This window comes from Homo sapiens, chromosome 19, assembly GCF_000001405.40.
Source record: "Homo sapiens chromosome 19, GRCh38.p14 Primary Assembly".
Lineage (NCBI taxonomy): Eukaryota > Metazoa > Chordata > Mammalia > Primates > Hominidae > Homo > Homo sapiens.
In genome coordinates, this window is record NC_000019.10 from 49,580,603 (window position 1) to 49,598,669 (window position 18,067).

Sequence of the window (18,067 nt, forward strand, 5' to 3'; positions counted from 1 at the left end):
ACTTCCGCCCAGCAGAAGGCACCGGAAGTAGAGCTGCCCCTAGTTGCGGAAGTGCCTCGCCTGGCTTGCTCAAGTCCTCTCTTCTCTTTCTCTCTCCGGAAACGTGAGTAGCTAATCGAAAGTTCCGGATATTGAAACTGGTGGGAATATGGGGAACGCTTACTATGTACGAGGCATTTCCCAGGGAGATCGTTTTTTCCTGCTTGGTTCCCAGGTTTTGAGTCTCTCCAAGCCCAAATTTAAGGACTAATCACTTCCCCTAGAGATCGGGAAGCCCACTTTCCCAAATATATCATCCACTTTTCTTGCTGCATCTTAAAACAATTGAGAAGAGACAACTACGCTCCCATTTTACAGACAGAGCCATTGGGAAATTGAAAATCAAAGCCGTTCAAGTCGCTCTCAGGAAACAGGGATTTACTGCGGCACTGCCCAGCTGTCCCAGGGACTAAGGCATATCGTTCCCGCTAGTTTCTAGATACCTAGAGACCTAGATATTAATTTTTCTAGCTCGGACAGACGAACTCCCAGGGGAGAGCCAGAGCGGGTAGGGGTCGGGAGGGAGGAGGAGGGTCGAATCTAATCCCCCAGGTATCCCATGGTATTCGACACCTTGGCTTCCTCATGGAGCTCTGGCCTTTAAGTCCTTTATCCCAAGGTCCCTTTAAATACTTTGTCCCTTACCTGAGTCCCGCCCAGGGCAGGTAATGGCAAGTTCCGCCCACCTGCCAGAAACGGGGATCAGGCCTGGTTACCGGGAGTGGGGCGCCCCTCCTCCTTATCCCCTCCCCTCTTCCCTGTCCCCTTTCACAGCTGGCTGTAGCTGGCCAAGGAGTTCTCGATTAAAGAGGAAGGGGCAGTGCTCACATTTCTGGGCAGGTAAGTGAATGTCCCTGGAGGAAGAGCCTGGCTTGGGGACCCAGGCATCCTGGCTCCCCGCCCCTCCGAGACCCAGAAGTTTGGGGCTCCTAGGCCCAGGAGTCCAGGGCCCCTGCCCACTTAGGTCCCTAGACCCAATAATATAACTAATCCCCTGCCTCTGCCTCTCTCGTAATCTTTGTTGTCTGTGGGTGGATGTGACAATGAGCACAGAAAGAGGCACAAGTGGAAATTACCAGGAAGGGAAGACTCCAGATCACCAGTGGACATGTTTATAAGCATCTGTGTCAGGTGCTGTAGACACAGTGGGGAAAGAAAGATAAGCTGCCTGCTCCTTGCTTTCTTCTCTGGCGGACACTGCCTTCACTGAAATCCTGGCTCTCACACTTGCACACTGTGTGACCTTCGGCAAGCTATATTACCTCTCTGTGCCTCAGTTTCCTGTTCTCTATACTGGGGATAATAATAGGACTCCTGGTCGGGCGCAGTGGCTCACACCTGTAATCCCAGCACTTTGGGAGGCCGAGGCGGGTGGATCACTTGAGGTCAGGAGTTTGAGACCAGCCTGGCCAACATGGTGAAACCCCATCTCTACTAAAAATACAAAAAATTAGCCAGGCGTGGTGGTGCGCACCTGTAATCTCAACTACCCGGGAGGCTGAGTCAGGAGAATCGCTTGAACCCAGGAGGCAGAGGTCACAGTGAGCTGAGATAGCGCCACTGCACTCCAGCCTGGGTGACAGAGCGAGACTCTGTCTAAAAAAAAAAAAAAAAAAAAACTCCTGTGAAAAGTTTTGTTTTGTTTTGTTTTTGACATGGAATCTCGCTCTGTCACCCAGGCTGGAGTGCAGTGGCACAGTCTCGGCTCACTGCAACCTCTGTCTCCCCTTTCAAGTGATTATTCTGGCTCAGCCTCCCAAGTAGTTGGGATTACAGGCGCCCACAACCACGCCTGGCTAATTTTTGTATGACTCCTGTGAAAAGTAAAATGAGTTGAGGCCGGGCACAGTGGCTCACGCCTGTAATCCCAGCACCAGCACTTTGGGAGGCTGAGGCAGGCAGATCACTTGAGGTCAGGAATTCAAGACCAGCCTGGCCAACATGGTGAAACCCCATCTCTACTAAAAATATGAAAATTCACTTTGGGAGGCTGAGGCGGGCAGATCACGAGGTCAGGAGATCGAGACCATCCTGACTAACACAGTGAAACCCCATCTCTACTAAAAATACAAAAAAATTAGCCGGGCATGGTGGCCGGCACCTGTAGTCCCAGCTACTCGGGAGGCTGAGGCAGGAGAATGGCATGAACCTGGGGGGTGGAGTGTGCAGTGAGCGGAGATCACACCAATGCACTCTAGCCTGGGTGACAGAGCGAGACTCTGTCTCAAAAAAAAAAGAAAATTAGCGGGTGTGGTGGCGCATGCCTGTAATCCCAGCTACTTGGTAGGCTGAGGCACGAGAATCGCTTGAACCCAGGACACAGAGGTTGCAGTGAGCTGAGACTGTGCCACTGCACTCCAGCCTGGCTGACAGAGCGAGACTCCATGTCAAAAAAAAAAAAAAGTAAAATGAGTTTATATAGGTAAACAGTATCTGGCACAGAATACAGGCTGTGTAAGTGGCTGCTATTATTGCCATTCGTGGACCACAGAGGCCAGTCAGAGAGGCACTGCCTCATTACCCAGGGACTAAGGCCCTTGTCAGCTGTAACAAACCTGGTTCTAGGTGTCTGGAAAATATGAGGGGCCACCCCTCTCTGCTGCTGCTATATATGGCATTAACCACCTGCCTGGATACTTCACCCAGTGAGGAGACAGACCAAGGTGAGTGTTTGGGGGAAGTGGCATCCAGACACTTGGCGTTGGCCTCCCCCTGACTCAGGAATGTTTCTAGTCCTTCCTCTTCCAGGAGTCCAGGACCCAGCCCCTTCCTCCTTCAGACCCAGGAATCTGGATTCCCAGCCCCTGCTCCTTCCTCCAGGACCCCACTGCTTTCCATCCCCCTATGACTCCAGCCCTAGGGACCCTCCATTTTTCTGTCCCTCATGTCTTTGGGTCCAGAAGTCTTCCTGGGTCCCCCAGAGGCCCAGAGCTTCCTGAGTAGCCATACCCGGATTCCAAGAGCCAACCACTGGGACCTGGAGCTGCTCACACCAGGGAACCTGGAACGGGAGTGTCTGGAAGAGAGGTGTTCCTGGGAAGAGGCCAGGGAGTATTTTGAGGACAACACTCTCACGGTGAGGGCCTCGAGACCCTGGAGTTTCGGGCCCTCTCTCTTCTCTATACCTGTGGGGAGGTTGCAGGGGTAGGTTCTGGCCTTCAGCTCCCTCCTCCTTGGTGTCTCAGAAATCAGGATGGGCTAGTTTGGGGGTGTGAACCTCCCAGCTGAATTCCTGCTTTTTCCCCTTCTTTTCCACTCCTTCCCCCTCAAGGAGCGCTTTTGGGAGAGCTACATCTACAATGGCAAAGGAGGTGAGTGAGGGGCTGAAGCCATCTTGTTCTGTGCAGCTAAGGTAGTCCCTTCCCAGCGAGGCCAAACCAACGTCCTCCACCCCAAATTAGGTACAAGAATCGTCTGCCCCCCAATTCTGTGCTCTCTGAAGCTGGCTGCTAAAGGAGTTCCCTCCCTTAAGACCCCAGCTTGCCTGAGGAGCCCCCCACACCTTATTTTATTTTTAAATATTTATTTTTGCTTTTTTTTTTTTTTTGAGACAGAGTCTCGCTCTGTTGCCCAGGCCGGAGTGCAATGGTGCGATCTCGGCTCACTGCAAGCTCCGCCTCCCGGGTTCACGCCATTCTCCTGCCTCAGCCTCCCGAGTAGCTGGGACTACAGGCACCCACCACCACACCCGGCTAATTTTTTGTATTTTTAGTAGAGACGGGGTTTCACCGTGTTAGCCAGGATGGTGTTGATCTCCTGGCATCGTGATCTGCCCGCCTCGGCCTCCCAAAGTGCTGGGATTACAGGCGTGAGCCACCGCGCCAGGCCTTTAATTATTTATTTTTGAGACAGGGTCTCGCTGTGTCACCCAGGCTGGAGTGCTGTGGTACAATCTTGGCTCACTGCAGCCTCAACCTCCCGGGCTCAAGCGATCTTCCCACCTCAGCCTCCTGAGTAATTGGGACTCCAGGCACACATTACCATGGTAATTTTTGTAGTTTTTGTACAGACGGGGTCTCACTATGTGGCCCAGGCTGGTCTTGAATGCCTGGCCTCAAGCAATCCTTCTGCTTCAGTGTCCCAGACTGCTGAGATTATAGGTGCCAGGCCCCCCACCACATCTTATTGGACGCAAGTCCTGTGTCCCTAGGAAGGGAAAAGTGTCAGTGGAGGGAAAGGTTAGAGCTGTGGGGCCCGTCAGGCCTTAGGCTCAGAGGGGCAGGCCCACCTGAACCCTTCCCTGGTGTCCAGAGTAAGTGGAAAGACCAGCCCCTCCGGCAGCTTGATTGCTGGGGACACAGCCCTCTAGCAACACGACCAAGGGAGGAAGCCTGCCCATCCTCACCTGCCCATTTTGCCCCCAAGAACCCCTTCTCTGAGGGGTTGCCATCTTGTTCCCATCTTGTTGCCAGCCTTGTTGCTAAGGGGGGCTGCTCCTTAGCAACGGGGCCTGGCCAGGCCAGACCAGACGAAGAAGCCTGAAGCAGTACCTGGCTGATTTCCCCTCCCCCACAGCCCCATCCCAGCAGCTGCCTGGTTGCTAAGGAGGCCTTCTCCCTAGCAACCACACCTAGCCAGGCTCCAGGACCCAAGGCCTTCTGCCCACTGGAGGACCACCCTCCGGGCCTCCGATGCCCCACCCCCTTGTGGCCCGGTTGCTAGGGGTAGCTGCACCTTAGCAACAGGCCTAGGTCTGGGCTGGAGTCTCACATTGGAGCCTGGTTGCTAGGGGAGGTAACTCTTTCCTGACAGGCCTAGCGAGGCGTAGTGGCTCCTCGAATCTACCTGAAGGTGCCCAATTCAGGAGGACCTGCCTTCTGAAGCTGCACTTGCGCCTTTTGCTAAAGGGGCTCAAAAGTCTGGGGGTTTACTGTGGTCAGATGTGGTGGCTCATGCCTGTAATCTCAGCACTTTGGGAGGCCAAGGCAGGCGGATCACCTGAGGTTCAGGAGTTCGAGATCAGCCTGGCCAACATGGTGAAACCCATCTCTACTAAAAATACAAAAATTAGCCAGGTGTGGTGATGTGTGCCTATAATTCCAGCTACTCAGGCGGCTGAGGCACAAGAATCGCTGCAGCTGGGAGGCAGAGTTTGCAGTGAGCAGAGATCGCACCATTGCACTCCAGCCTGGGAGATGTCTCAAAAACAAACAAATGGCTGGGCGCGGTGGCTCACACCTGTAATCCAAGCACTTTGGGAGGCCGAGGCAAGCAGATCACCTGAGTTCAGGAGTTTGAGACCAGTCTGGTCAACATGGTGAAACCCCATCTCTACTAAAGATACAGAAATTAGCTGGGCATGGTGGCACGTGGCTGTAATCCCAGCTATTGGGGAGGCTGAGGCAGGAGAATCGTTTGAACCCAGGAGCTGGAGGTTGCAGTGAGCCAAGATCACACCACTGCTCTCCAGCCTGGGCAACAGAGTGTCTCCAAAAAAAAAAAAAAAAAAAAAAAAACAAGGAAATGGGGTCATTTTGTCACCCAAGCTGGAGTGCAGTGGCACGATGACGACTCACTGCAGCCTCGACCTCCTAGGCTCAAGTGATCCTCCCACCTAAGCCTCCTGAGTAGCTGGGATTACAGGCATGCACCACCACGCCCAGATACTTAAAATTTTTTTTGTAGAGATGGGGGTCTCACTGTGCTGTGTTGTCTACGCTGCTCTCGACCTCCTAGGCTCCAGTGATCCTCCTGCCTTGGCCTCCAAAGTGCTGGAATTACAAGTGTGAGCCACCAAGCCCGGCCATTTTTTTTTTTTTTTTTTTAGAGACAGGGTCCAGTCACCCAGGCTGGAGTATAGTGGAGTGATCCTGGCTCACTGTAGCCTTGACCTCCTTGGGTCAAGTGACTCTTCTTCCTCAGCCTCCCAAGTAGCTGGGACTACAGGTACCTGTAGCACCACACCCAGCTATTAAAAACATTTTTTTCCAGCTGGGTGAGGTGGCTCACGCCTGTAATCCCAGCACTTTGGGAGGCCAAGGCGGGTGGATCACGAGGTCAAGAGATCGAGATCATCCTGGCCAACATAGTGAAACCCCGTCTCTACTAAAAATATAAAAATTAGCTGGATGTGGTGGTGCACACCTGTAGTCCCAGCTACTTGGGAGGCTGAGGCAGGAGAATTGCTTGAACCTGGGAGGCGGAGGTTGCGGTGAGCCGAGATTGCGCCACTGCACGCCAGCCTGGTGACAGAGCAAGACTCCGTCTCAAAACAAAACAAAAAACCAACATTTTTTCCCCAGGCTCAGTGATGGCTCATGCCTGTAATCCCAGAACTTTGGGAGGTAGAGATTGGTGGATTGCTTGAGCCTAGGAGTTTGAGGCCAACCTGGGCAAAAAATACAAAAAATTACAAAAACACAAAAATTAGCCAGGCATGGTGGCACACACCTGTGGTCCCAGCTACTCAGGAGGCAGAGGTGGGAGGATCGCCTGAACCCTGGAGACCAAGTGGCAGTAAGCCGCGATTGTGCCACTGCACTCCATACAGAGTCAGACCCTGTCTCAAAAAAAAAAAAATTTTCTTTTTTTTTTTGGTAGAGCCTCCCTATGTTGCCCAGGCTGGGCTCAAGTGATCTTCCTGCCTTAGCCTCCCAAAGTTCTGAAATTACAGCTGTGAGCCACTGTGCCTAGCTACAATGAATAATTTTAAAAGCGTATTCCAAGTAGTACATGTGACATCCTTTTTTTTTTTTTTTTTTTTGAGGGCGACAGAGTCTCTCTCTGTCATCCAGCCTGGAGGGCAGTGAGTGGCACAATCTCCCCGGCTCAAGCGATCCTCCTGCCTCATCCTTCCGAGTAGCTGGGACTACAGGCAAGAACCACCAAGCCTGGTTAATTTTTTTTTTTTTTTTTTTTTTTGAGACAGAGTTTCACTCTTGTTGCCCAGGCTGGAGTGCAATAGCGCAATCTCGGCTCACTAAAACATCTGCCTCCTGGGTTCAAGTCATTCGCCTGCCTCAGCCTCCCAAGTAGCTGGAATTATAGGCATGCGCCACCGTGCCTGGATAATTTTGTATTTTTAGTAGAGACAGGGTTTCTCCATGTTGGCCAGGCTGGTCTCGAACTCCTGACCTCAGGTGACCCACCCACCTCGGCCTCCCAAAGTGCTGGGATTACAGGCGTGAGCCACCGCGCCTGGCTAATTTTGTAATTTTTGTAGAGATGGGGTTTCACCACATTGGCCGGGCTGGTCTCAAACTCCTGACCTCAAGTGATCTGCCTGCCTCAGCCTCCCAATGTTCTGGGATTATAGGCATGAGCTACCACACCTGGCCAGGACATAGTTTTGTTTTTTTGGTTTTTGTTTGTTTGTTTGTTTTGTTTTTTTTTATTTTGAGATGAAGTCTCACTCTTGTTGCCCTGGCTGGAGAGCAATGGCTCAATCTCGGCTCACTAAAACATCCACCTCCTGAGTTCAAGCGATTCTCCTGTGTCAGCCTCCCAGATAACTGGGATTACAGGCATATACCACCATGCCTGGCTAATTTTTTTGTATTTTTAGTAGAGACAGGGTTTCACCATGTTGGCCAGGCTGGTCTTGAGCTCCTGACCTCAAACGATCCACCTGCCTAGGCCTCCCAAGTGCTGGGATTACAGGCATGAGCCACTACATCCAGCCTAATCTCATTAGGTTTTTACAGTGGGGTAGGGGTTATGGTTCCCATTTTACAGAACTGGCAGTGGAGGGTCAGAGAAAGGAATGAGGTGAATTTCCTGAGGTCACAGGGCTAGGAAGGGACCCCAGCTCTGCCTGCTTCCGGGTCCATTCTCTTCCCTCAGTGGGAAGGAATTTTGATGTTGGGGTGGGTGGCAGTCCCCGAGACAGTGTCTCCCCTTCCCTACTTTCCTGCAGGGCGTGGACGAGTGGATGTGGCCAGCCTGGCTGTGGGGCTGACAGGTGGCATCCTGCTCATTGTCCTGGCCGGCCTGGGAGCCTTTTGGTATCTGCGCTGGCGACAGCACCGAGGCCAGCAGCCCTGTCCCCAAGAGTAAGGGGGCTTCAGCGAGGAGGGGGTGGTGGTGGAGAGCAGGGGAGGGAGGAAGCATTGACCTAAAGGGATGTGCTAAGGATTGGGGGCAGGCAGGCACTGATGAAAGACCTAAGGACACAGTCATTTGGAGAGTGAGTCTGTGAGCTGGCTTGTGTCTGGTTTTGGCGACTGTCGCTCTGTCTGGATCCTCAGTACCTGGCCCGCAGTAGGAGCTCTGACCACTTTTGCTGCCAGCCTGTCTTTGCGGTACTGAGATTACCAGTATCCGTGGAATTACGACTCTGGATATTGTATCTGGTGAGGCTGCGACGGTGCAGCCTGTGGTGTCTTGGTGTCTGTGGTATGTCAGTTTCAGTGGTAACAGGTGCAGCACCTGAGTGGGTGTGGGAAATTGGTGAGGAGTGCGTCTGTGTTGTGTTCCTGTCTATATGGATGGGCTGAGTTCTGTCTGTTTGGTGTGTGTTGGCCTGCCTCTCTACAGGGCTGTCTTTTTTTTTTTTTTTTTTTTTGAGATGGAGTTTCACTCTCATTGCCCAGGCTGGAGTGCAATGGCATGATCTTGGCTCACTGCAACCTCTGCCTCCCGGGTTCAAGTGATTCTCCTGCCTCAGCCTCCAGTGTAGCTGGGATTATAGGCGCACTCCACTACGCCCAGCTAATTTTGTATTTTTAGTAGAGATGGGTTTCTCTATGTTGGTCAGGCTGGTTTCGAACTCCTGACCTCAGGTGATCTGCCCGCCTTGGCCTCCCAAAGTGCTGGGATTACAGGTGTGAGCCACCACGCCTGGCCCTTTTTTTTTTTTTTTTTTTTAAAAAAAGACAAAGTCTCACTCTGTTGCCCATGTTGGAGTGCAGTGGCCGGTTCACAGTTCACTGCAGCCTCAATTTCCTGGGCTCAAGAAATCCTCCCACCTCAGCCTCCTGAGGAACTAGAGCTACAGGTGTGCGCCATGCACCCGGCAGGGCTGTCTTTTTCTCTATTGCTCTGCCTGTATCTGGTGCACATGAGTGTGTCTGAATAAGAGTGTGTCTCTGTGGTTGCTGATTTCTGTGTCTACCTGTCTGTGTGCAGCTGCCTGTCATTTGAGGCGCTTTTCTGTGTGTAAGGCTAGGCTGAAGGTGACCCTCCTTTTCTGAAGTCCACCTCCCTTCCAGCTCTGTCCCAGTGTCACCCTGAGTCTCCGTCTCCTAGATCCCCTCTCTTCCTCCCTAGTCTAGGTATCCTGTAAGTTGCCTCTGCTAACTGTACCTTTGCTGTCCCCAGGGCCGGGCTCATTAGCCCTCTGAGTCCTTTGAACCCTCTGGGCCCACCGACGCCCCTGCCTCCACCCCCACCCCCACCCCCAGGCCTCCCCACCTATGAGCAGGCGCTGGCAGCCTCTGGGGTACACGACGCACCTCCACCCCCCTACACCAGGTATGGGGCGTGGCTTCTGCCCGGGGGCGGGGCGCAGAGGGGTGGGCACGTTGGAGGAGGAACCTGGGCTCAGGGGCGGGACTTGGAATTTGGGCCTTCTTACCTGGGGCGGGGCTTGGAGTGCGGGGGCGGGGCCCCATGCAATGGTCTAGGGGCGTGGCCCAGCGTTGTATGTGTGGAGCCGTATAGGAGGGTGGGGCCTGTGCCCAGAGGGTCCTGGATTGGCTGAGACGCCAAGGGCGGTCGGAGTGGTCCTGGTTGAAGGGGGGAGAAAAACAGCCAGATCTTTGACTCCCTAGTGTGCCTTTCCTCTTGCAGCCTCAGGAGGCCTCACTGAAGAGCTGCTTTCGAGACCCGGCTCTCCGAACCGTGCCCCTGATTCATACCGGATTCCGGAAGCCGCTAGGCCTCATAGACGCCGAAGCTGGACTTGGAGTGGGGAATGGTGGGAGTAGGGGTCATCCGGCCCGAGGCCTGCCCTGGCACACGCGTTTCCGCCGCGTATGGATATACACATGTTTTCGGCAACGTGTTCCCGTGTCCTGGCCCCTCACGGGCCCCCACACTCTCCTGACCGTGAGGGCACTGGTCAGTTCCGCCCCCGTGGTAGGCAGACGCGCGGGGAAATTCGGACCCAGGAGCCCAGCCCCGGCTGTGCCATCTTGTGTATGGGCAGATATGACCTGACAGCCCCCTCCAGTGCCACAGGGTACGCACACGCAGAGCCCCGCCTGTGCACACGCGTGTCTTCGTGCACTCCCCGTGCGGTACAGGGGCACTTCGTAACCCAGGGAAAGGGCGGGGGGCATATTTGCAAGCGCGCTCGGTGCGGGCAGGCTCGCATTGCACCCAGGGAGCTGGAGTTGAGCTGTTCCCCTAAATAAAAACCCTTCGGAAAGGAGACCAAAAAAAGCAGAAATAATGCAAAAAATAATAATGAAATGAACTGCGATCCCGGGCGCATCGGAACTGGTTTTCTGTGCAAACGCGCCCTACACCCCCAGGCCCTGCTCGCGCTCAGTCTCTCTCTCACTCTCCCTTTTTTTTTTTTTTTTTTTGCATTTGCACGGGATTGTGGGAGGAAGCGGAGCGCAGCCAGACACCCCGCCGCCCGCCCCCCCTTCCCCTCCCCCCTCCCCCAGCCGCCTTGTGCAAAGATGGCTGCACCGTGAGCGCAGAGGAGGAGGAGGCGGCGGCGGCGGCGGCGAGAGAGCGAGCACCCAGCGCCTGCACCCACCCCGGGGCCGCCCGGGACGCCCCCTCCCGAGCGCGCGCCCCCCCTTTTCTCTCGCAAGCGCCGGGGCAAAGGCGGAGACAGCGGGGTCCCTCCTCCCCCCTTCCCTCCTCTAGGGGGAACCCCCCTTCCCCCTTCCTTGGCTCAGCGACTGCACCCCCTCCCTTGCCCGCCCCTCCGCCCCTGCCCCCTCCCTCCCCCGCCCGGGGCCTTCCCGGGCCTTCGGCGGCTGCAAAGAAAAAAAGAGAGAGAGAAAAGGGGGGAAAAAAAAGCAGCAGCGGAGGGAGCGGCGGCGGAGGAGAGCGCGCGCGCGCCCCCTCCCTCCCTCCCTCCCTCCCCCTCCCCCCAATTTCCACCGCGGCCAATTCATGGACAGGAACTACCCCAGCGCCGGCTTCGGGGACCCGCTCGGCGCCGGGGCGGGATGGAGTTACGAGAGGTCAGCGAAAGCTAGGTAAGGAGCTGAGGGTGGCCTAGAGAAGGGGGCCAAGGGGTGGGAGCCCAGCCGGGCCGGGCCGGGCCGGGCCGGGCCCGCCCGGCGACGCGTGCATCGCAAACTCCCCTCCGGCTTGCAAGGGAGCGGCCTTCCTCGGTTTGTAACAACGCCGCCGCCCCAGTTTGCAAATTGCAAACTCCGCCAAAGCCAGCTCCGGCATGCAAAGGGAGAATTGCAGCGGGAAAATGGGGGTGCAAAACAATTTCGGACGGGAAGGCCTTGGGAAGGTGGGAGGGACTGGCGAAGCAAGGCCTGGACTTCCCCCCATCCTTGGATTCCCGGCTTGGTGACCCCTCCCCCCCGCGCCCCAGGCACTGCTCTTGCAAAGGTGGGAAGAAGAGAAGAATTAGAACGCAGATCTGGGGGGCGCGAACCCCCTCTCAGGTCCTATTGTTCCGGGACTGTGCGAGGCCGCGCCACTAGGCGCCCCCCCAAGAATTCCGCGCGCAGAGTGGGCACGGGGCCCCGCCCCCTTCCTAAGCTGGGGTTGTGTGTGTGTAAGGGAGGGGGTCAGGCGTCTGGGACACGCCCCCTTTAATGCCCCCACCCCCAAAGGCAGAGAATCCTAGTTGATCGCAAGGAGTGGAGCGTTTGCCCTCTTGAGTCTGGCCACGGACTGGTGCCGTTGCATGGGAAGAGTCGGATGTTTCCCGGGTGTGTGTTTGTGTGTCTGAGCGTGGGCCCTGTGCGTGCGTGGCTGGCAGCGTGTTCACCTGTGAATCTGCCCCTTTCCTGTTGCTTATTGGTGTGGCGCCCTCACACTTCACCTATCCCCAGCACCTCCCCCCCAACACACCTGGATTTCCCAGCAGGGCATAACCCCAAGTGTGTCAGGATTTTCCGTGTGGGATTCCTCCGTCTATATCTTTTCTTCCCCACGGGTGAGTTGGATACCCGTTTGCACACATACCTGGCATTGCATGGGCCCATGCATTTGAACCTCAACCCCCGGGGATGGTCGGTGTTCTTGTTCACACTTGTACCTGGTACTTTCCCCAGGTCTTATTCCCTCTTCTCTCCACCCCCCAAACCGTTGCCGCTTGGGAACCGATCTTCCTCCTGCTCCCAACTTGTTCTGCACCACCCCATGAAGTTCAGGGCCTATGTGTTCCCGTGTGTCTACGGAAGAGGAGGCGTCCATGTGGACCTCTGGCGTTGGCCCCATAGCCTGTGTCGCCGGAACGGGGGCTGGGGGGGGTTTGTGGGGTCGACGGGGGAGGGCTCTCATTTGCAAATCAAGACGCTTGCTCTGCCTTGGACCCTCTTCTGTGTGTTAGTCTCGTCTCTGAGCATGCCTGTTTGTAAACGTGAGACTATCCGGGCTCTCTTTATTCGGGCTCTGGAGTGGGGGCCATTTCTGTGGCTCTTTAGTTGAGCACCCCGATTCCCTTGTGTTCTCCCCTTTAGGGCCTACGGTTCCTTAGCTTAACACCCCCCACCCCGGTCAGCTGGAAGGGTCCCCCCAACTCCCCGGGGGGTTTTCTGAGCTTCCTTCTCAGAAGGCAGCTTGGAAGAACCCCCTGACGTCTCCCCTTTCCCCCCAGCTTGGTTTATGGCAGCTCCAGGACCTCGCACCCCGAGACGGACATCTTACACCGCCAGGCCTATGCGGCCCCCCACCCACTGCAAAGCTATGCCACCAACCACCACCCGGCAGGTACGGCCCCCATCCCGCCCCGCTTTGGGCTGGCCCTCCCCCTCCCCCCGAGGCAGCTGATTGGCTGTTGAAAGTTCCGCCCCTCCTAATTGGCCGTGGCCCGTGCCGTGGCCCGCCCCTTGCTGTGTCTCCTCTGATTGGTTGCCTTTGAGGCTGCTGGTCGCTGCTTCATTTCTCGCCGGATTCGTCCGCCCCTGCCTCGCCCCTCCCCTTTCGCTCCAATTGGCCCTGTTACCATCAGCCCCCAAATCCCACCTTCTCTTCCAGGCTTTTCCGCCTCTCCCCAACCCACCCCAATTCTTTCCCTCTGGGTTTGCCCTATTCTTTTGGCTCTTTGGAACTCTGAATTCTTTCTTCCTGATTCCCTTTCTTCCTGATTGGCTCTAATTCTCTGGCCCGCCCTGTTTTATCTTATTTTGCCCCATTGCCTTATTCTACCCACCTTGCCTTTGCCTCCAAGGTTTCTGATTGGTTCCCTCTTCCTAGGGGTACTGGTAATGACATGATGCTGTCCAGTTTGACCCTTGACCCTCCTGATTGGCTCCTTCCCTTTTTCCCTCCCCATCTTTTTTTCTGAACCCTCCCACTTAGCTCAATCCTTTCTGACACGTTCTCTGGTCTTTCTTAGACTTCATTGTCCCATCCTTTCCTCTTCCTTGCTGGAAATATCCAAATTTGGTCTCCCTCCCAGCCTTACTGAGGACTCTGTTCTTTTGCTCCTGGCTCTTTCGCTTCTAGATTTTTCTACACTTTTGTCTACCATTTCCTACCTGGGCCCCCTGTCCTTATGACTGGATTGCCCCTTGTCTTGCTTTACTGTCTCACCTTTCCCCCTTCCCTCCCCTCATTCATGTCTCATTAGCTTGGTTCTATCCATCTTGTTTTTGAATTTGCCCTTTTCTCTCCCATCCCCTCCTTTTCCTGATCCAACTTGCTTTTGGCCTCTTCCCTTTCTCTCTTGACTGTATCCTACCCACCCCCACCTGGCTGACTATAACCCCTGTCCCCGGCCAGGCCTCTCTGGACTCTTCGACACTGGCCTCCACCACGCGGGCTCAGCAGGGCCCGACGCCTCCGTCATGAACCTTATCTCGGCCCTGGAATCCCGGGGCCCCCAGCCTGGCCCCTCCGCCTCCTCTCTCCTCTCCCAGTTCCGCAGTCCTTCCTGGCAAACAGGTAAGCCCAGCGCCGGCCCTGCAGGGCCAGGGTGGGACTGGCTCGCTGTTCTCTCTGACGCGCGGTCTTCCTCATCTCCAGCCATGCACACGCCAGGCCCCACGGAGCTCTTCATCTCGGGTGCCCTGCCGGGTTCCAGCACCTTTCCGTCCTCATCTGCCCTGTCGGCTTACCAACACCCGGCTTCCTTCGGCAGCCGCCCCTTCCCAGTGCCCTCGTCCCTCAGCCTCCAGGACCCCCCATTCAGCCCTCCAGCTAACGGGCTCCTGTCCCCTCATGACGTGCTGCACCTGAAGCCCTCGCAGGCACCCACGGTGCCCTCTTCACTGGGCTTCGAGCGCCTGGCAGGGGGCGGTGTCTTGGGGCCAGCTGGTCTCGGTCCAGCCCAGACCCCCCCTTACCGCCCTGGCCCCCCAGACCCACCACCACCTCCTCGCCACCTCCCAACTCAGTTCAACCTGCTGGCTTCCTCTTCCGCTGCCGCCGCCGCTGCCGAGCAGTCCTCCCCACAGCTCTATAACTTCTCGGGTGCTGCCCCGGGCCCACCGCCGCCTGAGCGGGCCCTGCCACGCCAGGACACGGTCATCAAGCACTACCAGCGGCCAGCCAGTGCCCAGCCCCCACCACCCCCGCCACCAGCCCATGCGCTCCAGCACTATCTGAGCTGTGGAGGCAGCTACCCCTCCATGGGCCACCGGGCCAACCTGGCCTGCAGCCCCCTGGGTGGTGGGGAGCCCTCCCCGGGTGCTGGGGAGCCTAGCAAGGCTGGTCCCAGCGGAGCCACGGCTGGGGCATCTGGCCGGGCCACGGGCCCTGAGGCAGCAGGGGGCGGTGGGGCTGGGGGTGGTGGTGGAGGTTACCGCCCCATCATTCAGTCGCCTGGGTACAAGACGGGCAAAGGTGGTTATGGAGCAGCTGCCGGGGGTGCCACCAGGCCCCCCCCACCCCGTTCGACCGCCACCCCCAAATGTCAGAGCCTGGGTGGGCCAGCAGCCGCCTATGCCACTGGGAAGGCCTCTGGGGCTGGAGGGGCAGGGGGCCAGGCTTATTCCCCCGGTCAGCCTCAAGGGCTTCTGGGACCCCAGGCCTACGGGCAAGGGTTTGGAGGGGGGCAGGCACAGGACTTGAGCAAAGCCCCCAGCTACTCAGGGGGCCCCCCACAGCCCCCCAGCGGCCCCCCTCCTCCTGGCCTGGCCACATGTCAGAGCTACTCCCCGGACCAGCTGCAGGGGCAGCTGTATGGGGTGCAGGGCGAGCCATACCCAGGGCCAGCCGCCCACTCCCAGGGGCTGCCCACAGCCAGCCCCTCGCTCAGCTACAGTACCGGCCATTCCCCAGCGCTCTCGGGCCATGGGGGTGGCTGGGGACCCAGCTCCCTGGGAGGCGGCGGTGAGGCCAGCCCATCTCACATCATTCGTCCGCTCCAGTCACCGCCTGCCACCGGCCGTCCACCTGGAGTCGGCTCTCCAGGAGCCCCTGGCAAATACCTGAGCTCAGTCTTGGCCTCAGCGCCTTTCCTGGCACCTCCGGGAGCTGGCAGCTATGCAGCCGGAGCAGGTGGCTACAAGGGCAAGGGGGATGGCTCGGAGCTGCTGGCGGGCCCAGGTGGGCCTCCTGCGGAGCGCACAGAGGATGAGGAGTTCCTTATCCAGCACCTCTTGCAGGCGCCCAGCCCTCCTCGGACCTCAGGGGCGGACGGCTTGGTGGGCGAGGACGGGGCAGCAGATGCCTCTAAGGGACTTGGGGGGAGTGGCGGGGCCGGGGGACCACCGGGTACACCCTACGAGTTGGCCAAGGAAGACCCCCAGAGGTACCACCTGCAGAGTGTCATCCGCACCAGTGCCAGCCTGGATGAGGGTGCCACTGCGGCACTGGAGCTGGGCCTGGGGAGGCTGAAGGAGAAGAAGAAAGGGCCAGAGCGGGGTGGCGAGACCCCCGAGGGGCTGGCCACCTCTGTTGTCCACTACGGGGCAGGCGCCAAGGAGCTGGGGGCCTTCTTGCAAAAGAGCCCTCCGCCCCCACCTCCCACGGCCCAGTCTACCCAGCCCACTCCCCATGGCCTCCTTCTGGAGGCCGGGGGCCCTGACCTCCCACTGGTGCTGCCTCCGCCTCCCCCCCAGCTGCTCCCCTCGGTCCTCAGCCATGCCCCCAGTCCCTCTCCCAGCGCCTCCAAAGTCGGCGTCCACCTCCTTGAGCCAGCCACCCGCGATGGGGCACCCCAGCCACCTCCACCGCCACCCCCGCCTCCACCACCCATGCCCCTGCAGCTCGAGGCCCACCTCCGCAGCCATGGCCTGGAGCCCGCGGCCCCCAGCCCCCGCCTGCGACCCGAGGAGAGCCTGGATCCGCCAGGCGCCATGCAGGAATTGCTCGGGGCTCTGGAGCCGCTGCCCCCGGCGCCTGGGGATACTGGCGTAGGCCCACCAAACTCGGAGGGCAAGGATCCCGCAGGCGCCTACCGCAGCCCCAGCCCGCAAGGCACCAAGGCGCCGCGTTTCGTGCCGCTCACCTCCATCTGCTTCCCTGACTCCTTGCTCCAAGACGAGGAGCGCAGCTTCTTCCCCACCATGGAGGAGATGTTCGGTGGAGGGGCCGCGGACGACTACGGCAAGGCCGGGCCACCTGAGGACGAGGGGGACCCCAAGGCTGGCGCTGGGCCACCCCCCGGCCCCCCTGCTTATGATCCCTATGGGCCCTACTGTCCTGGCCGGGCGTCGGGAGCCGGGCCCGAGACACCGGGCCTGGGCCTGGACCCCAACAAACCGCCTGAACTGCCCTCCACGGTCAACGCCGAGCCGCTGGGCCTGATCCAGAGTGGCCCCCACCAGGCGGCGCCACCACCCCCGCCTCCGCCACCGCCGCCTCCCGCGCCGGCCTCCGAACCCAAGGGTGGCCTCACCTCGCCCATCTTCTGCTCTACCAAGCCAAAGAAGCTGCTCAAGACATCCTCCTTCCACCTGCTGCGGCGCCGCGACCCACCCTTCCAGACCCCCAAGAAGCTGTACGCCCAGGAGTACGAGTTCGAGGCGGACGAGGACAAGGCCGATGTTCCCGCCGACATCCGCCTCAACCCCCGGCGCTTGCCTGACCTGGTCTCCAGCTGCCGCTCCCGTCCGGCCCTCTCGCCACTGGGGGACATCGACTTCTGCCCACCCAACCCAGGACCCGATGGCCCCCGGCGCCGTGGCCGCAAGCCCACGAAGGCGAAACGTGATGGGCCACCCCGGCCACGGGGGAGGCCCCGGATCCGCCCCCTGGAGGTCCCGACCACTGCGGGGCCCGCCTCGGCCTCCACGCCCACCGATGGCGCCAAGAAACCCCGGGGCCGGGGCCGAGGCCGGGGTCGAAAGGCTGAGGAGGCAGGGGGCACCCGGTTGGAGCCCCTGAAGCCACTTAAGGTGAGGGGAAATGGGGTCTTGTAGGGGATAGGGGAGGAGGAGCTGTGTCCGATGTTTGAGTCTTTTTTTTTTTTTTTTGAGACAGAGTCTCGCTCTGTCGTCCAGGCTGGAGTGCAGTGGCACGATCTCGGTTCACTGCAAGCTCCGCCTCCCGGGTTCACGCCATTCTCCTGCCTCAGCCTCCCGAGTAGCTGGGACTACAGTTGCCCGCCACCACGCCCGGCTAGTTTTTTTGTATTTTTAGTAGAGACGGGGTTTCACCGTATTAGTCAGGATGGTCTCGATCTCCTGGCCTCGTGATCCACCCGCCTCGGCCTCCCAAAGTGCTGGGATTACAGACCTGAGCCACCGCGCCCGGCCTCCCGATGTTTTGAGTCTTAAAGGACAGGTTTATGGCCGCACCTTGGCATTTTTGGGGCAGGGGGATAATAAGGTTTACATTTCTAAAATCTGTGAGGAAGTTAGCGTGAGGAATTTCAGGGTCTCACTGACAGAAAGACCTAAGAATTGAAATTCTGAATCTAGGCTGGGCAGTGTGGTTCATGCCTGTAATCCCAGCGCTTTGGGAGACTGAGGCGGGAGGATCTCTTGAACCCAGATGTTCGAGACCAGCCTGGTCAGCGTAGTGAGACCCTGGTCTCTATTAAAAACACAAA

The 18,067-nt window shown here is 58.1% G+C and overlaps 2 protein-coding genes across 5 annotated transcripts in view, besides 9 other annotated features; both read left to right on the forward strand.

Moving 5' to 3' along the window:
* The first annotated feature begins 14 nt into the window (after positions 1-14).
* PRRG2 (proline rich and Gla domain 2) lies at positions 15-10,402 on the forward strand. 4 transcript variants are annotated; one of them, XM_006723286.2, is made up of 8 exons: positions 15-103; positions 814-879; positions 2,605-2,702; positions 2,940-3,115; positions 3,311-3,350; positions 7,895-8,030; positions 9,298-9,450; positions 9,769-10,402. In XM_006723286.2, the coding sequence occupies exons 3-8, from the start codon at positions 2,618-2,620 to the stop codon at positions 9,785-9,787; spliced, it is 609 nt and encodes a 202-aa protein (XP_006723349.1). In that variant the 5' UTR covers positions 15-103; positions 814-879; positions 2,605-2,617; the 3' UTR covers positions 9,788-10,402. The 4 variants fall into 4 exon arrangements, with proteins under 4 accessions (XP_006723349.1, NP_001303264.1, NP_000942.1 ...); NM_001316335.2 differs by lacking the exon at positions 15-103 and having other exon boundaries at positions 714-879; positions 2,773-3,115; NM_000951.3 differs by lacking the exon at positions 15-103 and having other exon boundaries at positions 714-879.
* Positions 4,006-4,631: an enhancer, noted in NCBI's record as "H3K4me1 hESC enhancer chr19:50087865-50088490 (GRCh37/hg19 assembly coordinates)". NCBI's record gives its function as "activates a minimal SCP1, AML or CMV promoter by ChIP-STARR-seq in naive H9 embryonic stem cells {active_cell/tissue: H9 hESC(naive)}" and the evidence as "EXISTENCE:reporter gene assay evidence [ECO:0000049][PMID:30033119]".
* Positions 8,125-8,184: an enhancer, noted in NCBI's record as "active region_14949". NCBI's record gives its function as "activates an Ori minimal core promoter by ATAC-STARR-seq in GM12878 lymphoblastoid cells {active_cell/tissue: GM12878}" and the evidence as "EXISTENCE:reporter gene assay evidence [ECO:0000049][PMID:35858748]".
* Positions 9,399-9,498: a silencer, noted in NCBI's record as "silent region_10921". NCBI's record gives its function as "represses an Ori minimal core promoter by ATAC-STARR-seq in GM12878 lymphoblastoid cells {active_cell/tissue: GM12878}" and the evidence as "EXISTENCE:reporter gene assay evidence [ECO:0000049][PMID:35858748]".
* Positions 9,509-9,668: a silencer, noted in NCBI's record as "silent region_10922". NCBI's record gives its function as "represses an Ori minimal core promoter by ATAC-STARR-seq in GM12878 lymphoblastoid cells {active_cell/tissue: GM12878}" and the evidence as "EXISTENCE:reporter gene assay evidence [ECO:0000049][PMID:35858748]".
* Positions 10,529-10,858: a silencer, noted in NCBI's record as "silent region_10923". NCBI's record gives its function as "represses an Ori minimal core promoter by ATAC-STARR-seq in GM12878 lymphoblastoid cells {active_cell/tissue: GM12878}" and the evidence as "EXISTENCE:reporter gene assay evidence [ECO:0000049][PMID:35858748]".
* Positions 10,580-18,067, forward strand: part of PRR12 (proline rich 12) — a 35,258-nt gene continuing 27,770 nt past the window's right edge. The window contains exons 1-4 of the mRNA NM_020719.3: positions 10,580-11,138; positions 12,725-12,837; positions 13,852-14,013; positions 14,095-17,411. Coding sequence (NP_065770.1) covers positions 11,053-11,138; positions 12,725-12,837; positions 13,852-14,013; positions 14,095-17,411 — 3,678 coding nt within the window. The 5' untranslated portion in view covers positions 10,580-11,052. The remainder of the gene's footprint in view (positions 11,139-12,724; positions 12,838-13,851; positions 14,014-14,094; positions 17,412-18,067) is intronic.
* Positions 11,019-11,268: a silencer, noted in NCBI's record as "silent region_10924". NCBI's record gives its function as "represses an Ori minimal core promoter by ATAC-STARR-seq in GM12878 lymphoblastoid cells {active_cell/tissue: GM12878}" and the evidence as "EXISTENCE:reporter gene assay evidence [ECO:0000049][PMID:35858748]".
* Positions 11,252-11,751: an enhancer, noted in NCBI's record as "H3K27ac hESC enhancer chr19:50095111-50095610 (GRCh37/hg19 assembly coordinates)". NCBI's record gives its function as "activates a minimal SCP1, AML or CMV promoter by ChIP-STARR-seq in naive H9 embryonic stem cells {active_cell/tissue: H9 hESC(naive)}" and the evidence as "EXISTENCE:reporter gene assay evidence [ECO:0000049][PMID:30033119]".
* Positions 12,239-12,318: an enhancer, noted in NCBI's record as "active region_14950". NCBI's record gives its function as "activates an Ori minimal core promoter by ATAC-STARR-seq in GM12878 lymphoblastoid cells {active_cell/tissue: GM12878}" and the evidence as "EXISTENCE:reporter gene assay evidence [ECO:0000049][PMID:35858748]".
* Positions 12,829-12,928: a silencer, noted in NCBI's record as "silent region_10925". NCBI's record gives its function as "represses an Ori minimal core promoter by ATAC-STARR-seq in GM12878 lymphoblastoid cells {active_cell/tissue: GM12878}" and the evidence as "EXISTENCE:reporter gene assay evidence [ECO:0000049][PMID:35858748]".

Bases quoted from the DNA above. Each gene is read 5' to 3' on its own strand.
- PRRG2 (XM_006723286.2), top strand. From the start codon at position 2,618: ATGAGGGGCCACCCCTCTCTGCTGCTGCTATATATGGCATTAACCACC. The intron at 3,116-3,310 runs GTGAGGGCCTCG...TTCCCCCTCAAG, and splicing joins TTGAGGACAACACTCTCACG to GAGCGCTTTTGGGAGAGCTA. The intron at 8,031-9,297 runs GTAAGGGGGCTT...TGCTGTCCCCAG, and splicing joins CAGCAGCCCTGTCCCCAAGA to GGCCGGGCTCATTAGCCCTC.